An 18120-nucleotide genomic window follows, 5' to 3' on the forward strand; every position below is an offset into this window, starting at 1 on the left:
GTAGTCTTTAAAATGCCCAAATCAGGCCTGAAGCTCTACTGAGCTAGAGAGTCTACTGATTCTCTTTCCTCTAAAAAACAATCCCTTCGCTACATAACAACACTGCAACGGGCAAAGCTTCACCTTGCGACTGAAACGCTGTCTGTGCCCAGGCACCTGCCGAGAGTCCCCGAGCCTCTGGCTAAGGTACCTCTACAGTTTGCATTTGGCTGTAGCGATGCCTAGCTTGCCGCAGAAGGTAGGTGCACACATTGAGAGGAGAATACACGTCTGTGCCACAGTGGGAAAAAGTGCAGTTTTTCTGATTGCTTGAAATTTATACAGCAACTGATTTTCAAGTAAATTCCTGAACCTCACTATTGGGTTCGCAGTGAGGAAACTCAGGATTCGTAGTGAATAGAATGTAATAAAAAACATAAAAGGATCTTTTGGGTGCTAACATAGAGGGATTTAATGAACTGCCAATTTCATGTTTTAAATTGCTTCTTACTGAGTTCTAAAAGAATATTGTGATGGAGATATCCACAAAGTCAAGGTTATGCATGAGGCTGAATTAGAACCTGCCTCATATTGAAAGTGGACACCGTCTTCTTTACAAACATGAAGACAATCATTCAGGTTGGAGATACATATACACATGATCTACTTACATACATATAGTATACATATATATGTAAAGATAGCTAAATACATTGACATATGCAAACATGTGCCCACATATTTCGTAAAAGAAAACTCAGCTCAAACTATCATATTGGATAGTTTTTGAGTGTTTTATAATAAATTAATATTTGAGAAAAGCGCCATAACTGTTTCCACAATGGAATGGAATCAGTTAAAAGGAATGAATATCCTAAAGAAATTGCTATTGATCTTAGCTGAGGCCACACCATGCCTTGCATAGCAAATGGTTTCCATTACCTTACTATCTTAAGATAATTAATGTGCAGTCACTGCCCTTATCTTATGTTATCGGTCATTCAGTTACTGTTCAATTTCTATCAGGGGTGTTTTCTACGAGGGCAGTTTCATCAATAACTGTCACTTGCTGATAATTTTACAAATCATGATGCCATTTCCCCAATCCAATTTATAAAATGTGTGCTTTATCTCGGATTGACTAATTGTTACATAAACCCTTGCCACTCAGCATAGATTGTGGTTCATTTATAATAGCACAGGCTTACCCTAATATTTTCTATCAAGTGATGTGTCTGTGCTTTACCCCTGTCTTCCCAAGGAATGCATTTCCCACTGAAATATCCTACTATTCATCTGCTCTAGTAATATGATGTTAAGCTGCTTTATGTATTTCTCAGACAAATATTTTATTTGCTTGTCAGAAACGTAATCACAAAATATCCTTCTGGAATCAACTCTAAGAATGTGCAGTAGAGACATAATTCAGTGTGAGTCACACTTTAACTGTAGACTACCACCAACATCCTTTACCCTAGCTCATGTTTTCATGAGGCAACTTACGTTAGGTAGAAATATTACCTTTACCATAGTATGGCTTTTTGACATGGCTGTCACTGGATTTAGGCTTTCTGTCCTCCCCGGGAAGTTGTCTCGGAGACTGGTCCTCATATGACCTCATATTGTCCCTCCTCCCAGCTTCCATGGCCATCTTCTCCCTCATGGCCTTTGCTCTTTCCGTTTCCAAAGCGATGGCTTTCTCCAGCAGGGTCAGGTTCCCCTTGGTCATGTCGAACACCTCTTCAGACCTGTCCGAGTTCACAGAGGTGGTATCGTCGTCCCGCTCATGACACCCATCCTCCTTCGCACAGCTGGCAAACACTCTCGACCGGGGGCTCAACTGCTCCTCCAGCCGCATGAGGTTCAGCATGTCCGAGTAGTTTCTGTCCGGCGTCCTTCCGGGGAAGTCCTCTTCTGGCCGGACATGCTGACGGATGTTCATGTTCTGCTGCGGATTCCTCTCCTGCGGGTTGGTCTCACTGAGCTTCCTGGCCAGGTCGAAGCACTGATTCCTCAAACACTCCAGACTGCTCAGACACACCTCCTCATCGCTCTCCTCCACCATCTTTTCCATGAGTCCGTTGTTCATGGGCTTCCCCAACATGACGTAATTCATATTTCTACTGTCTTGCTGCGACATGCTGTCTGCATAATTTCTGTCATTCATGTTTTCTGAGAGCACAACACCGTGTCCTTGGGCTAATAGTTTAAGGGAGTCCACTGTTTCTCTAACAACATCACTGTCTAAGTCTAAACTCAACTCACTTTTCCGACCCAGGTTTTCGTTTTTGTCACTATCGTCTTCCAGACTATTGGAGGTATTGCTGTTCATTTCTGACTCAGTCCTGGCCCGGTAGGCTGCATCCTCAGCGATTTTGCCGAGGTTTAACAATGACTTGGCCACCAGTTCATCGTAATTGTCATATTCGTCATTATTGTTATCATCCTTTTCTGTGTCTTGCATTATTCGAGTATTGTGACAATTCATTTGATGGTCTTCTGCAAAGAAAATAAAAAAGACAAAAAAGAAAAGAAAAGGAAAAAGTGGCTAGAACTGGAAGCTTAGTTGCAACAGCATGGATAGCACGTTAACTGCAAGTCAAACCGTCTATCATCTCACAGAACTGTAAGTCCCATTTGCAGCTGGGTTGAAAAAGTTGACATAAAGAAAACGGATGTTGCTAAAAAGCAGAAGGCCATTTAAAATACTTGTTGTGAATTATTAATTTCTTTAATGGATCTTAAGATAAACCAGTCAATGTGGCAAATATGATTTTAAAAATTAATTTTGTATTTTTCATACATTTCAAGAATGACTTATTTTCTCCATTGGCTTGCTTTATCTATAGCCTCGCCAGATGTGTATTAACTGTGCTCCTCACATTACTAGGCTTTCTAAGAGTTCATGAACTTTACTTGTTGCCAACTCTGAAGCAGATGTTTGCAGCAATTGCTTTTAAATGGTCTATTTTCACAGTGGCGTGTAGGCAACACAGAGGACAGCCTCAGGTTCCTGAGAGTCAGGCAGGGGTGCCGGCTGCATTGGGAGCTCAGATTCATAAGCACATGTTGGGGCTGAATTAAGAGTTCTTTTGAATCCATACCTTCAAGACAATTTATCATGATACACAGTGAAACAACAGAAATTCCATAGTAAATGTTTAGACAGTAAATCTGATTCCTCTGTCTGTGTCTCCACAGGTTTGAAAGTGAGAGAGAGAGAAAGCGTGCAGCAGCCAAAGGCCTATAAAAGGCGGGGTTGAGGTAAGTTGGTACAGCTACTGCACAGTGTTTGACTGGACAGGCAGAGCTGGCACATTCCTCCATCTCACAGCCTCAGGAAAAGCTTGGTGAGCGGGTATAATGTGTGAGTAAGTGTCATGCTTAATCTCAAAAACGTATTTAGAAAAACTCTTTAAAAAGACCATGTTAAAAATTACATAAAACCCCTATGTTTTATCTCAAACATATTCTGTTTCACACTCAAAGAGCATTTGGGATTTGTACCTCTAATCACCATGCTAGGTCATTGCTTCCATGTACATTGCAAAATATGAGTAATAATAAAAGGGTTCCTAAATGTATCTGTACCCTTAGATTAGATTTGGTTAACTGCATGCCATTTTCACATCTGTTCTTTGTTTTTATGATTAAAAATCCAGAGTAAGAAAAATGTCTAAAGTTTATTAACAATTTAAAGAAATGAGGTATATTGACCTCTACAAAATACCAGTACACTAAAAACTGAGATATGGGGGCTCTGGTGTTTTCTCTATGGATTTTATGCAGAAAAGGTTGGTGGAAAAAAGACTTGGAGTTCAATATGTCAATAACAGAAAATAATATCCTTATTATCCCACGCTGAAGGAACAAATATTTAAGATCTGACACACCTTTCTAAACTTCGGCAAATCAAATTTACCTTTTATTAGACATAGAGAATCGCTAATTGTGTGAAACAAATATTGCCCTTCTTCTGGATAATTCCTATAAATCATCTTCTTTATTATAAGGATAAAAGTATTCCCCAAGAGCAGCAAAAAGAAAGAAAATCAAACTAGTGAATGAATCAGAAACATTGTGGAAGTATTAATCTCCAACATACCCCTTGCTATACCCTAGTGTTTAAGCTTTTAGGACTTGAAGTCAATCCCATTTTAATTAATATTTGGAAATATTCTCCTCTCAATTTATGCACTTTGTTATATTCATGGGCTGTGATTACAGAAGTTTCCTCAGAATAACCAAGCTGTGTTACCTCTGCACAATAGGTAAGTTTTAACAGCCAGAATCACTATGTCTATGAAGACCCAACCACGAGATGAATGATAAGCTATGATTTGAAAACAAAAAAGCACAGGCCACATGTTGGAGCATTTTGAAAGTTGAGTCAAAGAAGAAACCACAGTCAAGCAACACTATTTTCATGATGTTCTCCTACATTTCCTTTATGGAACTCATTGTGTGGTCCTGAAGAATTTGGAAAAGAAGCAAGACCTTGAAAGTGGTGAACAAGGAAAGAAAAAGCCTGTCTAATCCTCCTTGCTGCTTCTACAGCCACAAAAAGCCTGCAGGGGGAACAGGTCCTGGTTCCCACCTTATGAACTTCCTCACCTTCCTACAAATGTGTTATGTACAACATTGGTCATTCTCCACATTCCAAATCTCAGGATTAGCTTCAGTTTGTTCCCCCCTACATTCTCCCTTCAGCAGCACGTAGTTAAGAAGTACATCTCACCTTTTTGATAATCAGACATTTATCTGTTTCTCCACTCAATTCATAAGTTACCTTCCCCCGACAAAATTAAAACAAAAATGGACAAGCCTCTTCACACAGGGTCACAGCCATGCTGACGGGTGAAGCTGAGAGCAGCCAAGGAGAAAGTCCCTGAACCGTCTGGAGACCGGCAGAACGCGGACCACCTCCGATGCATCTCCAGCTTTATACTCTAATCACAAAGCACACTGAGGGCACGGTTCGTCCTCATACCGCATTGATATGAAATTAGAAGTTCTACAGCTCGGCGCCCATCATGACTTGGCTGCTTTCTAATTGTGTGATGCTGGTGACCCAAGTCTCCAAGACTTAATTAGCTCAGTGGGGATAGTAAAACTTCCTGGCCCTTTGTCAGATCTCCTACAAGAACCATGTCACAGGATATGCCTCCTAAAGACTGCAGTTTGCTGTCTTATCATTGGCCCCAGAGCCGACTGCTGGGGAGAGCAGCCCGTTGGTAGAAGAAATCTGGAAACAGGCAGTGGAAAGCATATTGGCATCTGAGCACAGAGCCTGCCGTGTGCTTCTACCCTTCTTCAAAGTTCCTCCTGCTCAGTGTCATCTGAGCCTCTCCCAGCGGCAGCAAATGTGGGGACGGCGGGTGAAGATGGCGTGGGTGGCCTCAAAGCCTGGCAGGTGAATGGAATTTCTCAAGCTACCGGTATTTAACTCTTTTAAAACACATGTGAAATGAAGTCAGCTCCTAATTATGTGGGCTCATGGAGGGGAACAGCCAGTCAATCCATCAACAAGCAGGCTCTGAATCCCTGCTGGGCATCAGCCTCATCTGGAATTCAAAGTCATTCACAGTGAGCTTTTGGGATTCCCTCCCTGGTTGTACACACTCCCTTCCAGGTATGCTTTTCTGAGGCTAATAATGAAATTAGTCACATGATGGCATGGGCTATGGGAACTAGATCAGAATTTTCTGGGCCAGTCTGGGGTTGAAAATGTGATACAAACAATCCACAAAATGAACATTCCAACCTCAAAAAGCAGGAGGCCATTTTACTAGGTTTTGTTTTTGTTTTTGTTTTTTGAGATGGAGTCTCACTCTGTCATGCAGGCTAGAGTGCAGTGGTGCGATCTGAGCTCACTGCAACCTTTGCTTCCTGGGTTCAAGCAATTCTCCTGCTTCAGCCTGCTGAGTAGCTGGGACTGCAGGTGTGCACCACCATGTAGAGACAAGGTTTTGCCATGTTGGCCAGGCTGGTCTTGAACTCCTGACCTCAAGTGATCCTCCTGCCTCGGCCTCCCAAAGTGCTGGGATTATAGGCATGAGCCACTGAGCCTGGCCTCCATTTTACTAGTTTCTATATAGTGACTATTGTTCTATCAAATAGGGAGAATGTATGTGTGATAAAAGAGCAATTTATCAGGAAATTATCTTAAAGGACAAGTTTATGTTCTAAGTAAAAACACATATTTAGATGGAGGTTTAAAGAGAAGAACAAAGCATTCTCAGCTCCCTTTTTTTGGTTTTCTATTTTAAATCTGTCATCCAGCAAAGCCACAGAGCAACAGACTCTGAGCAGGAGCCTCCTGTGAGCGGGGGCCAGCCTGGGGCTGACCGCTGGGTGGACTCACAGAGTTACCGCACTGGCACGGAAATCAGAGAAGAGCTGGCCCAACTACTCCAGGTGAGAAAATTGAGCCCAGAAGACAGAGCCCATTCAGTGGCTGATCTCATGGGCTCTTCTTCCTTCCTATCAGCCAGTTATTCTACAAACCTGACTTCTGTTGCATTACACATGAGATTTCAACACCTCCATGAGTGAGATTTATGAAACGTTTTAGGGTTGAATTTTATCTCTTTTGAGTCAGATTGTTATAAACAATTTATGCTCCATAGTTACAATTAGAAAATGAAAACATCTTCTTAAACAAAAGAAACGTGGTTGCTGTGGGCCATTTATCCTCCACCCTCCTCACTAGAGTCTGGTAGAGTCAGAACTCTGGATTACAACTTTATATACAGGCTTGGCTTCTTAGTGTCTCTCCCTAAGATACACAACTTTTGATTCCTGCAACATCTAGTCCTGATTGAGCTACTGTTCTTTCTGGTCACTGACACAGGACCCAGGCAAGTAAACGTACAGCTGAATAGAAAACATAGAGGAAGCCACAGGAGGGGACTGTACTCCAAAGCAAAAATCGCCCTAGACTTCCCCGGGTCGGAGGAGACCTGGTCTGCAGGTGCACTCCAGTGAGTTTCAAATAATGAAGGACCACTGCTTTCTATGGCTTTACAGAGGTGGTGTTTTGTTACATAAATAAATCAATATCAAAATATATTTTGACTTATAAATACAGAAATATGACAATGCATTCATTCTAATGAAAAGATGATGGTGTTTTAATAGCAATCGCAATGATAAGGAAAAAAAACCAAACCACATAAACCATCTATATATTTCTTTTTGTTTGTTTGAGACAGGGTCTGGCTCTGTTGCCCAGGCTGGAGTGCAGTGGCACAATCACAGCTCACTGCAGCCTCATTCCCCCTGGCTCAAGTGACCCTCCCGCCTCAGCTTTTGAGTAGCTGGGACTACAGTCATGTGTCACCACGCCTGGCTAAATTTTGTATTTTTTGTAGAGACAGAGTTTCACTGTGTTGCCCAGGCTCGTCTCAAAGTGATCTGCCTGCCTCGGCCTCCCATAGTGCTGGAATTACAGGTGTTAGCTACTGCACCTGGTCATAAATGTTTCATATACCACATTTCCTTCTGTGCAGAGGAAATGAAGTTGGTGACTACAGAATAGTCTGACTCACCTGAGTCTGGTCCCCTGATGACCCTATGAGAGGCACTGGGGCACCTACTGCTCCCTCTGAAAGGTGACAGTACAGAACCACAGAGGCTGACAGTTTACCCCATCACTCACTGTGAAACAGCAGAGCTGGAGCCACCTGGAGTTCTGGGTGTAGCACAGTCCTGAACATTCCACAGTGTTGCCTCCACTTCCAGAGCAAGCAGGCCTGCACAGTTCTCACCCCAGGGCCTCCCAGGAGGCACGTTCTACACTAGTTAGCCAGACATGCAGCACTTTAATAGTAGAGAGTAACGCCGCTCCCTTCTGCCTCACCATTCGGAATGTTTTTGTTGCTATTTTTGCATTTATCTTCCGAGTTTTTTTTTCTCCTTTCAATACTCTGCATTGATTTATGGACTGAAGGCTTGGTTGTATCACCAACCACTCAGAGCTGTGCTGGAACTGCCAGCTTAGTGAGCCTGCCATCCACCAGGATCCTGATGAGTGGAGTTTGGGTCCATTCTGATGTGGAAAGAAGATTAGAAAATTAGGAAAATCCAGGACTCCGGACTGATATTCAGGAAGACACTGGGTTCGCCACTCCAGGTGCCTGGGAAGCCTGAGGGATCTGCATGGGTAGGAGGGTGGGAGACAGTTGAGAGCCAGGATAAGGATGTGCAGGGAGGGAACTGGGGGTACAGGACAGGCCTGGACCCCCTGACTCTTATGCAGGCAGTGGTCGCATGTTTATGTGGAGCCCCTGGCTACTCCCCTGGCCAGGACCAGGCGGAGAAGCGTGAGTTCATTTCCCTCTCGCTTCAAAGGCCCCAGGCGCATGCTGAGACACTGCAGTCTCTTTCCTTTCATAAGAGGGGAGAAGTCACTTTCCCAGCCCGGGTGGCCTTCAGTCGGGCACCTCTCCTAGGTGCGGCGCTGACCTCGGCGCCCCTCAGCTGCCGGCAGCACAGGACATGGCCTGGCTCCGGGATCAGCTATTCTCACTTCCAGCACGAGATCCCCGCACCCCTCCTCTGCCTCCCTCATCCTCTACTGCCAGTGAGGCCCTTCACTAGAAGACCCCTGAGGCGCCCTCTAACTCAGAGCCCTGCAGTTCAACGCAGGTGAAAGGGGAACATGGAGGGTGACGCGGCATTGACAGTGGGATGCACGTGTCTTCCCTGCCAGGCCGCACTGTCCCTGGCTCCGCTCTAGCCATCACCGTCACGCTTCCCTACTACATCTAACTCAGCAGTGCTTCTGTGTGTCTTATTTCCAGTATCATAGGAAATTTTCAGAATAGTCTGTCCATATGCACAGTTCAGTGATTTCTGAGTTAACAGAGGTTAAAATTCTCCCAGCAGAAGCTCCCACTAGTCTTATTCATCTTGAGTATAGATTAGCACAGACATTTTCTCCAGTGCCGGCCATTGCCATTTTCTTTGAATTTTAGTGCTAGATAGAATTATTGAGATCATGCCTTCAAAATTTAATATGTGAAGAAACTTAGGTCCTGGGAGTTGAAGTCACCTGCTTGCCATTCATACTCCTTCCACAGGGACGAGTCTAGAATTGCCATCTTGGTTTTGCTACATCTCAAGCCTTTCCTCTACCTTTCAAAACCGGGACATATTCGGAGGGTCACAACGCAGTGTCATCTCTAAGATAATTTTCTGAGACATAGGAAGATCCGTGTTTAGCAGGCATTCATCTGCTTCGAGTCAGAAAGACAGATCTCGGCTTCATGTCCTGCATGCTCCCTCAGCTGGAGAGACAAGGAGGCCCGCCCGAAGGCAGCTCCACTCAAGAAGAACCCTTCCTCAGACCCCTAATTTGAGTAAGCGCTCAGGAAGGACACAGAACTACAGCTGGGGATGGAACGGAGGGACTGAGTTTTGCACTAAGTGCTACATGACACATTCCAGATCTCTTCCTCAATACCTGTCACTTGATTGGAAAGCCCACTTCTGGGCGCCCCGATTCTTTCACTGAACTGCTGGAGTGGCACTATATCACGGAGCAGAGCGGCACACCTGCCTCTCAAGGCACCCCTGTGGTCCCTGTGGGGGCCCTCTCTTCTCTGATAACTCATTTGCCTCTTTTGCTCAATAAATGCAGACATAATCTGATTCCACCTTGATCTCCTTTTTTCTTTCTCTTCTAAACCACAGGGTGTTTTCCTACCATAACGACCTCCCTGCAATCACAACGCTTCAAATACTGGTGAGGTACCCACATCAGATCCTCTGTGATGGCACACACGCCTTGCCCAGGTCCTGCGGGCAGAAGCGTCGGGGCTGCTGGGCACGAGGAGGGCACAGCGCTGGGCTGCTGGGAGCTGTGAGTACAGGTGAGGAGGTATCTGAATTTTGCTTTCAGATACTGATAAAATACTCAAAGTTGCTCTTAAGAGTTGTTTAAAATGAATGCTGTCTGGAATATGATTTCCCTATTGCTTATAAAAATATTTAGGATTGACTGGCATGTTTTTAAACTTTTAGGTTCGGGGGTCCATGTGCAGGTTTGTTTTATAGGTAAACGCGTGTTGCAGGGGTTTGCTGTACAGATTAGTTTTCACCCAGGTCATAAGCATAATTCCCCAGGATGTTTGTTTTAACAAAGAAAAGCAGAAATACTACATCTTAGTAACCATCTTCCCGCACTGCATACACTGACTAGAGGGGCCGGAGGACCTGTGGTTTATGTGCTGCATTTTGCCACTGTTTTTTCTGACTTTTGGAGATTGTGCAGGTCCATGGTCCTGTCTGCACACACCCTGCATGTGGGAAAATGGCCTGTCATGGCCTCGGGTCCTGCTGAGACAGCAGTTCACCACTCATCCCTTAGAGAGGAGAAGGGTGGGGCCGGCCTGGGGGAAATCTCCCCTCCCAGGTTGGGCCTTCCCTCTGCTCCTCATCTGCCGTGGCAGACAGAGAAGCAGACACACCTGGAGAGATTGATACCAGTGCCAGAGAGGATGCCTAGTGCGCACTTTGAATACCTCACGTCTGCTGGGCCTTGCAGACACTTCCTCCACCCTCAGCGATGCCCATGTCTGCTGCGCCTTGCAAGTACTTCCTCCACCCTCAGCGATGCCCACGTCTGCTGCGCCTTGCAAGTACTTCCTCCATCCTCAGCGATGCCCACGTCTGCTGCGCCTTGCAAGTACTTCCTCCACCCTCAGCGATGCCCACGTCTGCTGCGCCTTCCAAGTACTTCCTCCACCCTCAGTGATGCCCACGTCTGCTGGGCCTTGCAGGGTCTGTGTGGTCGCTTCTTTGTTCTTCTGGGTGCTAATTACTGGGGAGCTGGTTTTGGTGCATTATATGAAAATTACCCAAAATACACTCCCAGCCATTTTGTGTGTGTTGTTCTCTGTATGGTTATTTCTGGGCCTCCGTCTCATTACCATAAATGTCTGTGCGTTGAGGAGCTCGACCTACTTATCCACCAATAGAAGGGATTCTCTGGACTGAAGTTTGTTTCCCTGTGCCTTTGCATCGGCTGCTGTCTTTTGCTTTCTGTCTCTGTAAATCAATCTACTCCGTGCAGCAGGTGCAATGCCTTCCTCAACTCCAGGAAAGGAGCGTGCATCACCTCACTCCTGTCCACGCCCTCAGTGCAGGGCTCAGGGAACCCAGGAAGGCACCTGTCCCCCCTTCACACATACGTGAGGATGCCCCACTAAGTCACATATTTCTAAAGTCATCTCGGTTCCTGTCACTGCCCAAAAGCCTTCTTGACGACCGAAAGGAAGCATGCAGGCCAGACACTGCCTACACTCCCATGGCCATTGATGGTGTGAGGTAATAGCAGCCTTAGAGAGGCACTGGCTCAGGTTTTGGAAGATCCCCCACAGCTGATTAAGCTGCAACAACATGTCTCTCAGAAGAATGATCTTACACAGGGAATTGAGGCACGGAGGAAAACGTCTATTTAAGATAGGAGGCATTTATGAAATTCCATGAGCCATGTATTTACCTAGGTGAGATATGGAGGTGCCTAGATACTTTCATCAAACTGAAAACTGCAAAGTCTTTGGAGAGGGCAATGTAGCACAACCCTTTTATCAGATCCAAGAGAAATGTAATGATCACAATTTTGCACAACCAAGCTCTGCTGGGCATGGCACTGGGGGGAGGAGGAGGGAACTAACAGAATAATAGTTATTCATTTAACAGCTGTTTATTGTCACACTTAGAGATGAACAATGAACCAAAGAAACAGAATCCTTGTAGTCATGGCTGTTCCATTGCAGTTGGTGAAAGAGGTAAAAATAGAGAGTAATAAATACTGTGATGCCACATAGTGACGTGTGTTCCACGAAAAATGAAGCAAAATCAAAAGACAACGGACAGTACGTGGGATGGGGGGTCGGGCAAGTCCTCATTGAGAAGGTGCCACTTGAGCAGAGATCTGAAGAGGTGGGAAAGTGAGCTATGCCAGGGAGAGTGTTCTGGGGGAGGAAAGAGAGGGTGCCAAGGCCCAGGGTTGTGTGCCTGAAGCTCCAGGAGCAGTGGAGCCACGTGCTGGTGGAGTGTGCTGGAAGGGCAGGTGGAGGGCTGGGAGGTTGAGGCTGGGACACACCAACTTGGCATCAAGACACAACCCTGGATGCCTTCTGCTGAAGCCAGGGAAGCCTGGGCCAACCACATGCACAGTCTAAAGGAGAACAATGGCACCAGCAGGCAGAAGCCAGGTTGCCTGTGTCAGCGTGCCTGGGAGGCTCCCTGGAGGCTCACGGAGGACCTCTGAGTGACACACTCTTCACACCTCACACTGTTCTCATCATCCTGTGGATGAAGGGATGGATCTGAGGAGGAGTTCAAGGTCATATGGCTAGGACATACATCTAGGAATCCAACTCATGTTGGTCTAATGGACCAGGCAGCTTCCACAGCCCCCACCGAGATGACAGGGCCCTTCTGCAGAGAACCCAGGTGAGAGCTCAGAGAGCCACGGAAATTACCCCAGGGCTCCCAGGTGATAGAGAAGACCTGGTCCCTAGGTATCTCTGTTTCTACTCGGAGGAAGTTCAGGCGACACAGATTCTAGCCCCAAAATGGAAGAAATACCACCTAGGCTGAGGAAAACACAACTTGGGCCAGAAAAAAACGCAGAGGGGTGAGGATGCCTTGGCTTCAAGTTGTTAATGTCGCTTCACTTTGAACACTGAACAAAAATTTATTTTCTGAATTCTTCCGAAGACTGAACAATTTTGGATTCAAAGAAAGAGGAACCCAGTGGCTTAATGTGTAAGGGAAGTTTTTTCTGAAGTGATTTGCCTCATCCAAAGACTGGAACAGATCACAGGAGACTGTGGTGCGTGTGGCTCTTCAAGCACACGTGTGTGCATGTTTAGATGGGGTTTCTGGAGCATCAGGAGAAGAGACTGCACTGAGCTCAGTGGCAACAGGCCCAGGACAGGGTGCCCAGTGCCCAGGTGTGCTATAGAAGGTGACAGGACATTCTGTGTGGACACTGCCTAGCACAGTGCCATGAGCCACATAGGCCAACCCACATGCGATTGGTGTGGCGAGGAAGTGAATTTTTAACATTATTCAGTTGTAATGAATTTAACTTATTTACATTTAAATAAACACATTGGTCTAGGGTTTGCCATGTTGGCCAGCATGGATGCAGAGGTGGAAGTTCAGAGGGAGCTGGGCTCTAATTTTGATTTTTTTTTTTTTTTTTTTTTTTGAGATGGAGTCTTGCTCTGTCGCCCAGGCTGGAGTGCAGTGGTGCGATCTCGGCTCACTGCAAGCTCCGCCTCCCAGGTTCACGCCATGCTCCTGCCTCAGCCTCTGGAGTAGCTGGGACTACAGGCACCCGCCACCACGCCTGGCTAATTTTTTGTATTTTTAGTAGAGACGGGGTTTCATCGTGTTAGCCAGGATGGTCTCGATCTCCTGACCTCGTGATCCTCCCGCCTTGGCCTCCAAAGTGCTGGGATTACAGGCGTGGGCCACAGCCCCCCGCCTGATTTTGATTTTTATAACATATATATATATATATACAACCTCATATATGTAATTTATAGATATGTATTCATATGACATGTATTTTCTATAAACGGCCCACCAGCAGAGCAGCACACATGTGGGACAGCGCTTTCATGTTCTTGTGTGCTACAGTGATTTCAATGCTGTCCTTTCTATGAGCTAAAAGGTGAATGCATGAAGTCTCATTTATTTATAAAGCTTTGAGGGTCTTTTTATTTGATGACATTTTAGGTATCTGGCTTACATAAATTAAGGGATTAAAAAAATAAGAGTCACATTCTTCCACCCAGAGAATGAGCTGTTTGGAGTCAACAGCTACTCAGATAGAGACAGACTGAAACATTCGAACGAATTACACCACTGTCTCTGTCTCTCTGTCTGTCTCATTCTCTCTTTCTCTCTCTCTTCCCCCTACCCCCTGTCTCTGTCATGTACACACACACACACACACACACACACACACACACACACACACAGGCACAGGTCAAAGACTTTCTGGATCAGTTGGATGACCGTGAAGACTCCCTGTCCCCAGAGTGATTGCTTTTATTGTCAGTGCTCGGAACCCGGGGAGCAGAGATAAGACTGTGAAAATTCTGGTTCTTCTGTTTTCCAGAATGGGTTTGAGACACAGGTGGCTGCTCACATAAATGTGCTAGATTGGGAGGGAAATTGAGAGGACATCAGGGTTCCTTCTCTTTGTCTCTAGTCTTCCATATTTCATCCGTGTCAAAGAGAAGACTCTGATCTGCTTCGGCAGAGCTTGCAGAGACAACATGACCACTTTCTTAGCAATCTGAAGTTTAGTGAGCCTCAGTATTCAGAAATGTATGTTTTTATTTTCAAATCAAATACTTAAAGCCTCCACCTCAGTTTATGACTTCTAATTCTGCCCCCTGTAAAGAACCATGCTTTGTATTTTTTATATACACACCTCTTCCATACTGTATTATGTATTTCTTCCAGAAAATGGTGACTCTGTTTAGTTTTGTGTCTGCATGCAACCCAGTGCCCTTCTGGGCACAGAGAAAAAAAACACACCGTGTTTTGAAATGAGCTGTCATGATATTCTGAATCTTTTAAACTCTTGCAGCCTTAATATACATGATATACTTGCTGCGTGTGGGGAGGGGGTCATGGATGTTAGGTTCAGGGTTACAGAAGAGCATGAATAAATGGGTGGGAGCATAATATCATATTGAAATTGTCCTTAATCACAATTGTGATGTTATGGTTCTGAACTGCTTCCCATCTCTCAATCGTTTTTATATTCTGCAACTTCTTTAAGCTTCAAAATAAGACAGCGAAGTGAAGGAAGGGCACGTACTATTATCCTAATCTTAAGTGAAACTGAGGTCCAGTGAAGCTAGGTGACTCGCTTAGGACATGTGACACAGCCAGAGCTGGAAACACACCTCATTCCTCAACTCCATCTACCCGTGGATAAACCAGAACTTGGAATGAAACCTAAATTCACAAGGCATAGCAGATAAACTGTTATTTTCTTAGAGTGGACTTTATAAGCAAATTGAACAGAAACATATTCGACCCCACTATCTTACATTTTCTGTTTTCATTATCATGCTAAAAGGAGTTTCCCCAGGACTTTATGCATCCACCTGCATCTTTTTTTTGTTTTTCAAGATGGAGTTTTGCTCTTGTCACCCAGGCTGGAGTGCAAGGCTGTGATCTCGGCTCACAGCAACCTCCGCCTCCCAAGTAGGTTCAAGCAATTATTCTGCCTCAGCCTCCCAAGTAGCTGGGATTGCAGGCATGTGCCACCACACCCGGCTAATTTTTGTATTTTTAGTAGAGACAGGGTTTTGGCCTGTTGGCCAAGCTGGTCTCAAACTCCTGACCTCAGGTGATCTGTCCCCCTCAGCCTCCCAAAGTGCTGGGATTACAGGCGTGAGCCACCACACCCGTCCTCTACCTGCATCTTAAATGTACATGGCATGATATTTACAGCCAGATTTTTGCTTTGTATCAAAGTACCTGAAGGTTTATGAAAAATAGGATAAATTATATTTCTATAATTTAGCACAGTTTGCATGAAGAGAGTTTAGGTTTTTTAAAATCATATATTGACACCTAAAAATGTCTAATTCTATGATTACTCATTCCCAAGATGCAGTGCCATGTACTTCAACGTAGCTGCACATGCCATGTCCTAAAAATGCCTCCGTGGATGCAGGGAGAGGTTAGTTTTAAGATGATACCAAATCATCATATTCTTTCTCCCAACTGTGTCCACAGTCTTCCTCTGGTTGAAGCCTCGCATACCAAACATATGATCTTTGTTTCTATGTTGGTCTCAGAACTCATTGCCTTTTCTGCTGACTGCAGTGAAAACTGGTTGGCTAATTCTGCTTTTCACAGTCTGTCTGCGTTTCAACTTGCTTTCCTCATCAGGGATATTTCCCTGAGAAAGACAGGAGAGGATAATTGGCTAATCAATATGGAGAATGGTGTCCTGCAGGGAAGCTGGGGAGTTCAGAGGCCACACAGCAGACCCCTCACCCCCTCCATGCTGTCCTCCTGTGAAAACTCAAGCCTATGAAAATTTGTCTTCCACAAATACCAGGATGCTCTAGCAACTTGGGGCTAGCACCTCATCCTGTTTGAAAGAAAACACACCCTGGGAACTTTACCATGAGAAAAGAAATGTTTCTGTGAGAAGGAATTTTTATAGCATGAGTTCTGCCTTGAATTCCCTTTAAAAAAGAAGGTGGGGAGTGGAAACACCCCGTTAGAAAATTGTCCCATGCACAGGACTGATTTACAGTGAGGACAGAGCCTGATACTAGAATGGAACAGGCACAGATTACTGGCCATGGTGATCCCACAGCTGGCTGAAGAGTCAGGGCACACTCCTCCAACAAAAGCAGCCCCTGCTTCCTGTTCGACTCCCCTGACCCCCACATCGACTCTGCCTCAGGGCGGCCTCCATGCCTTGCCCAGAGCAGCTGCAGCCATCATTTCGCACATCAAGAAGTTCCTAACGTCCGCGGCCATCAGATCGCACATCAAGAAGGTCCTAATGTCTGCAGCCATCAGATCGCACAGCGAGAAGGCCCTAATGTCCGCGGCCATCAGATCGCACAGCGAGAAAGCCCTAACGTCTGCGGCCATCAGATCGTACATCGAGAAGGCCCTAACGTCCGCAGCCATCAGATCGTACGTCGAGAAGGCCCTAACGTCCGCGGCCATCAGATTGCACATCGAGAAGGCCCTAATGTCCGCAGCCATCAGATCGCACAGTGAGAAGGCCCTAATGTCCACAGCCATCAGATCGCAAGTCGAGAAGGCCCTAATGTCCACAGCCATCAGATCGCACACTGAGAAGGCCCTAACATCCGCGGCCATCAGATCGCACATCGAGAAGGCCCTAATGTCCACAGCCATCAGATCACAAGTCGAGAAGGCCCTAACGTCCACAGCCATCAGATGGCAAGTCGAGAAGGCCCTAATGTCCGCGGCCATCAGATCGCACGTGGAGAAGGCCCTAAGGTGACCACACAGATTTCCTCTCAAGCAGCCCCTCCTCCTCAGAGGCCAGCAGCCCAGGACACCACCGCACACCTTTGGGTCACTGATCTGGAGAACGCGATACAGGAAGCCAGGAAGACTTTAGAAAAGGAAGACACCTGCGTGTCACCGGATTTAGCCCCGTGATCAAGTGGCAAGGCAGCCCTGAGATTCAGTAAAGAGTAATGAAGAAAGAACCTCATATATTCTCCAAAGTATTCCAGAAACAGAGCATTTAAAGCAACATCTATGTGCTAAAGGCAGCTGCACACACGCAAGCTTTCTTTAGTCTAGAAAGCACATTGCTAGGCTCTTCCTCAGGAAATGCTGATTCCTGTCTAAGGGAAGATGCAATGTCTGCTATAAAGAATATATGTATGTGTGTGTATACATTGATTTAGAGATATTTTAGTGGACTGGAGTATGAACATAAACCATACCTTGCTAGGTATTATATATCCATTTACTATATATTTCTCAAATCACATGAATCCAAAAAATATTTATCATAACATAAAAAGATCTGATAATAGAAAAATCTATGGCCATTGAACAATAACTTTCTTAACTTTAGGATAACAAGGGGATTTTTAATTGGTGCAGACTTAGACTGTAATGATGTATTCTGAAAACAAAATTCTTCATGCAAAAGACCAGCCTATGGTAGGTCTACGTATAATAAATATAACTTTGCTTAATTAAATATGAACTTAATCTGAAATGAGTTTCTCAGGTATTATCCCCTGTTGTTCAAATAAGCAGAAGGTGATCAGGAGAACACGAGTTCCATTACAAGGAAAACCATGCAAAGTGTTTGATTACCTATCCCCCACCTACAGAAAATAATATAATCTTAATTAGCCTCAGTTTCTAATTTGTATGATGAGAGTAAAAGAGCTTCTGCCCTACCCATCTTATGCAATCAATGTGAAGATCAAATTCAATAATGTGATTAAATATGCCTATTGGAAACTTACATTATTAGGACTATTTTGATTCATATAAGCAACAATGCTGGAGGATCCTTGAAATTAAAATAAATACTTAATCTTAAATTATAAACAATAGTCCTTCTATAACCTG

The 18120-nt window shown here is 45.0% G+C and overlaps 1 protein-coding gene across 33 annotated transcripts in view; it reads right to left on the minus strand.

Annotated features, from left to right (window-relative positions):
- MYT1L (myelin transcription factor 1 like) overlaps window positions 1-18120 on the minus strand; it is a 542163-nt gene that overhangs the window by 131673 nt on the left and 392370 nt on the right. For 24 of the 33 annotated variants that reach the window (NM_001303052.2, XM_011510326.2, XM_011510324.3 and 21 more), the window contains one exon: window positions 1501-2478. In NM_001303052.2, coding sequence (NP_001289981.1) covers window positions 1501-2478 — 978 coding nt within the window. The remainder of the gene's footprint in view (window positions 1-1500; window positions 2479-18120) is intronic. The other 9 variants (NM_015025.4, NM_001329847.2, XM_017003612.2 and 6 more) reach the window with 1 other exon arrangement.

This window comes from Homo sapiens, chromosome 2, assembly GCF_000001405.40.
Source record: "Homo sapiens chromosome 2, GRCh38.p14 Primary Assembly".
Lineage (NCBI taxonomy): Eukaryota > Metazoa > Chordata > Mammalia > Primates > Hominidae > Homo > Homo sapiens.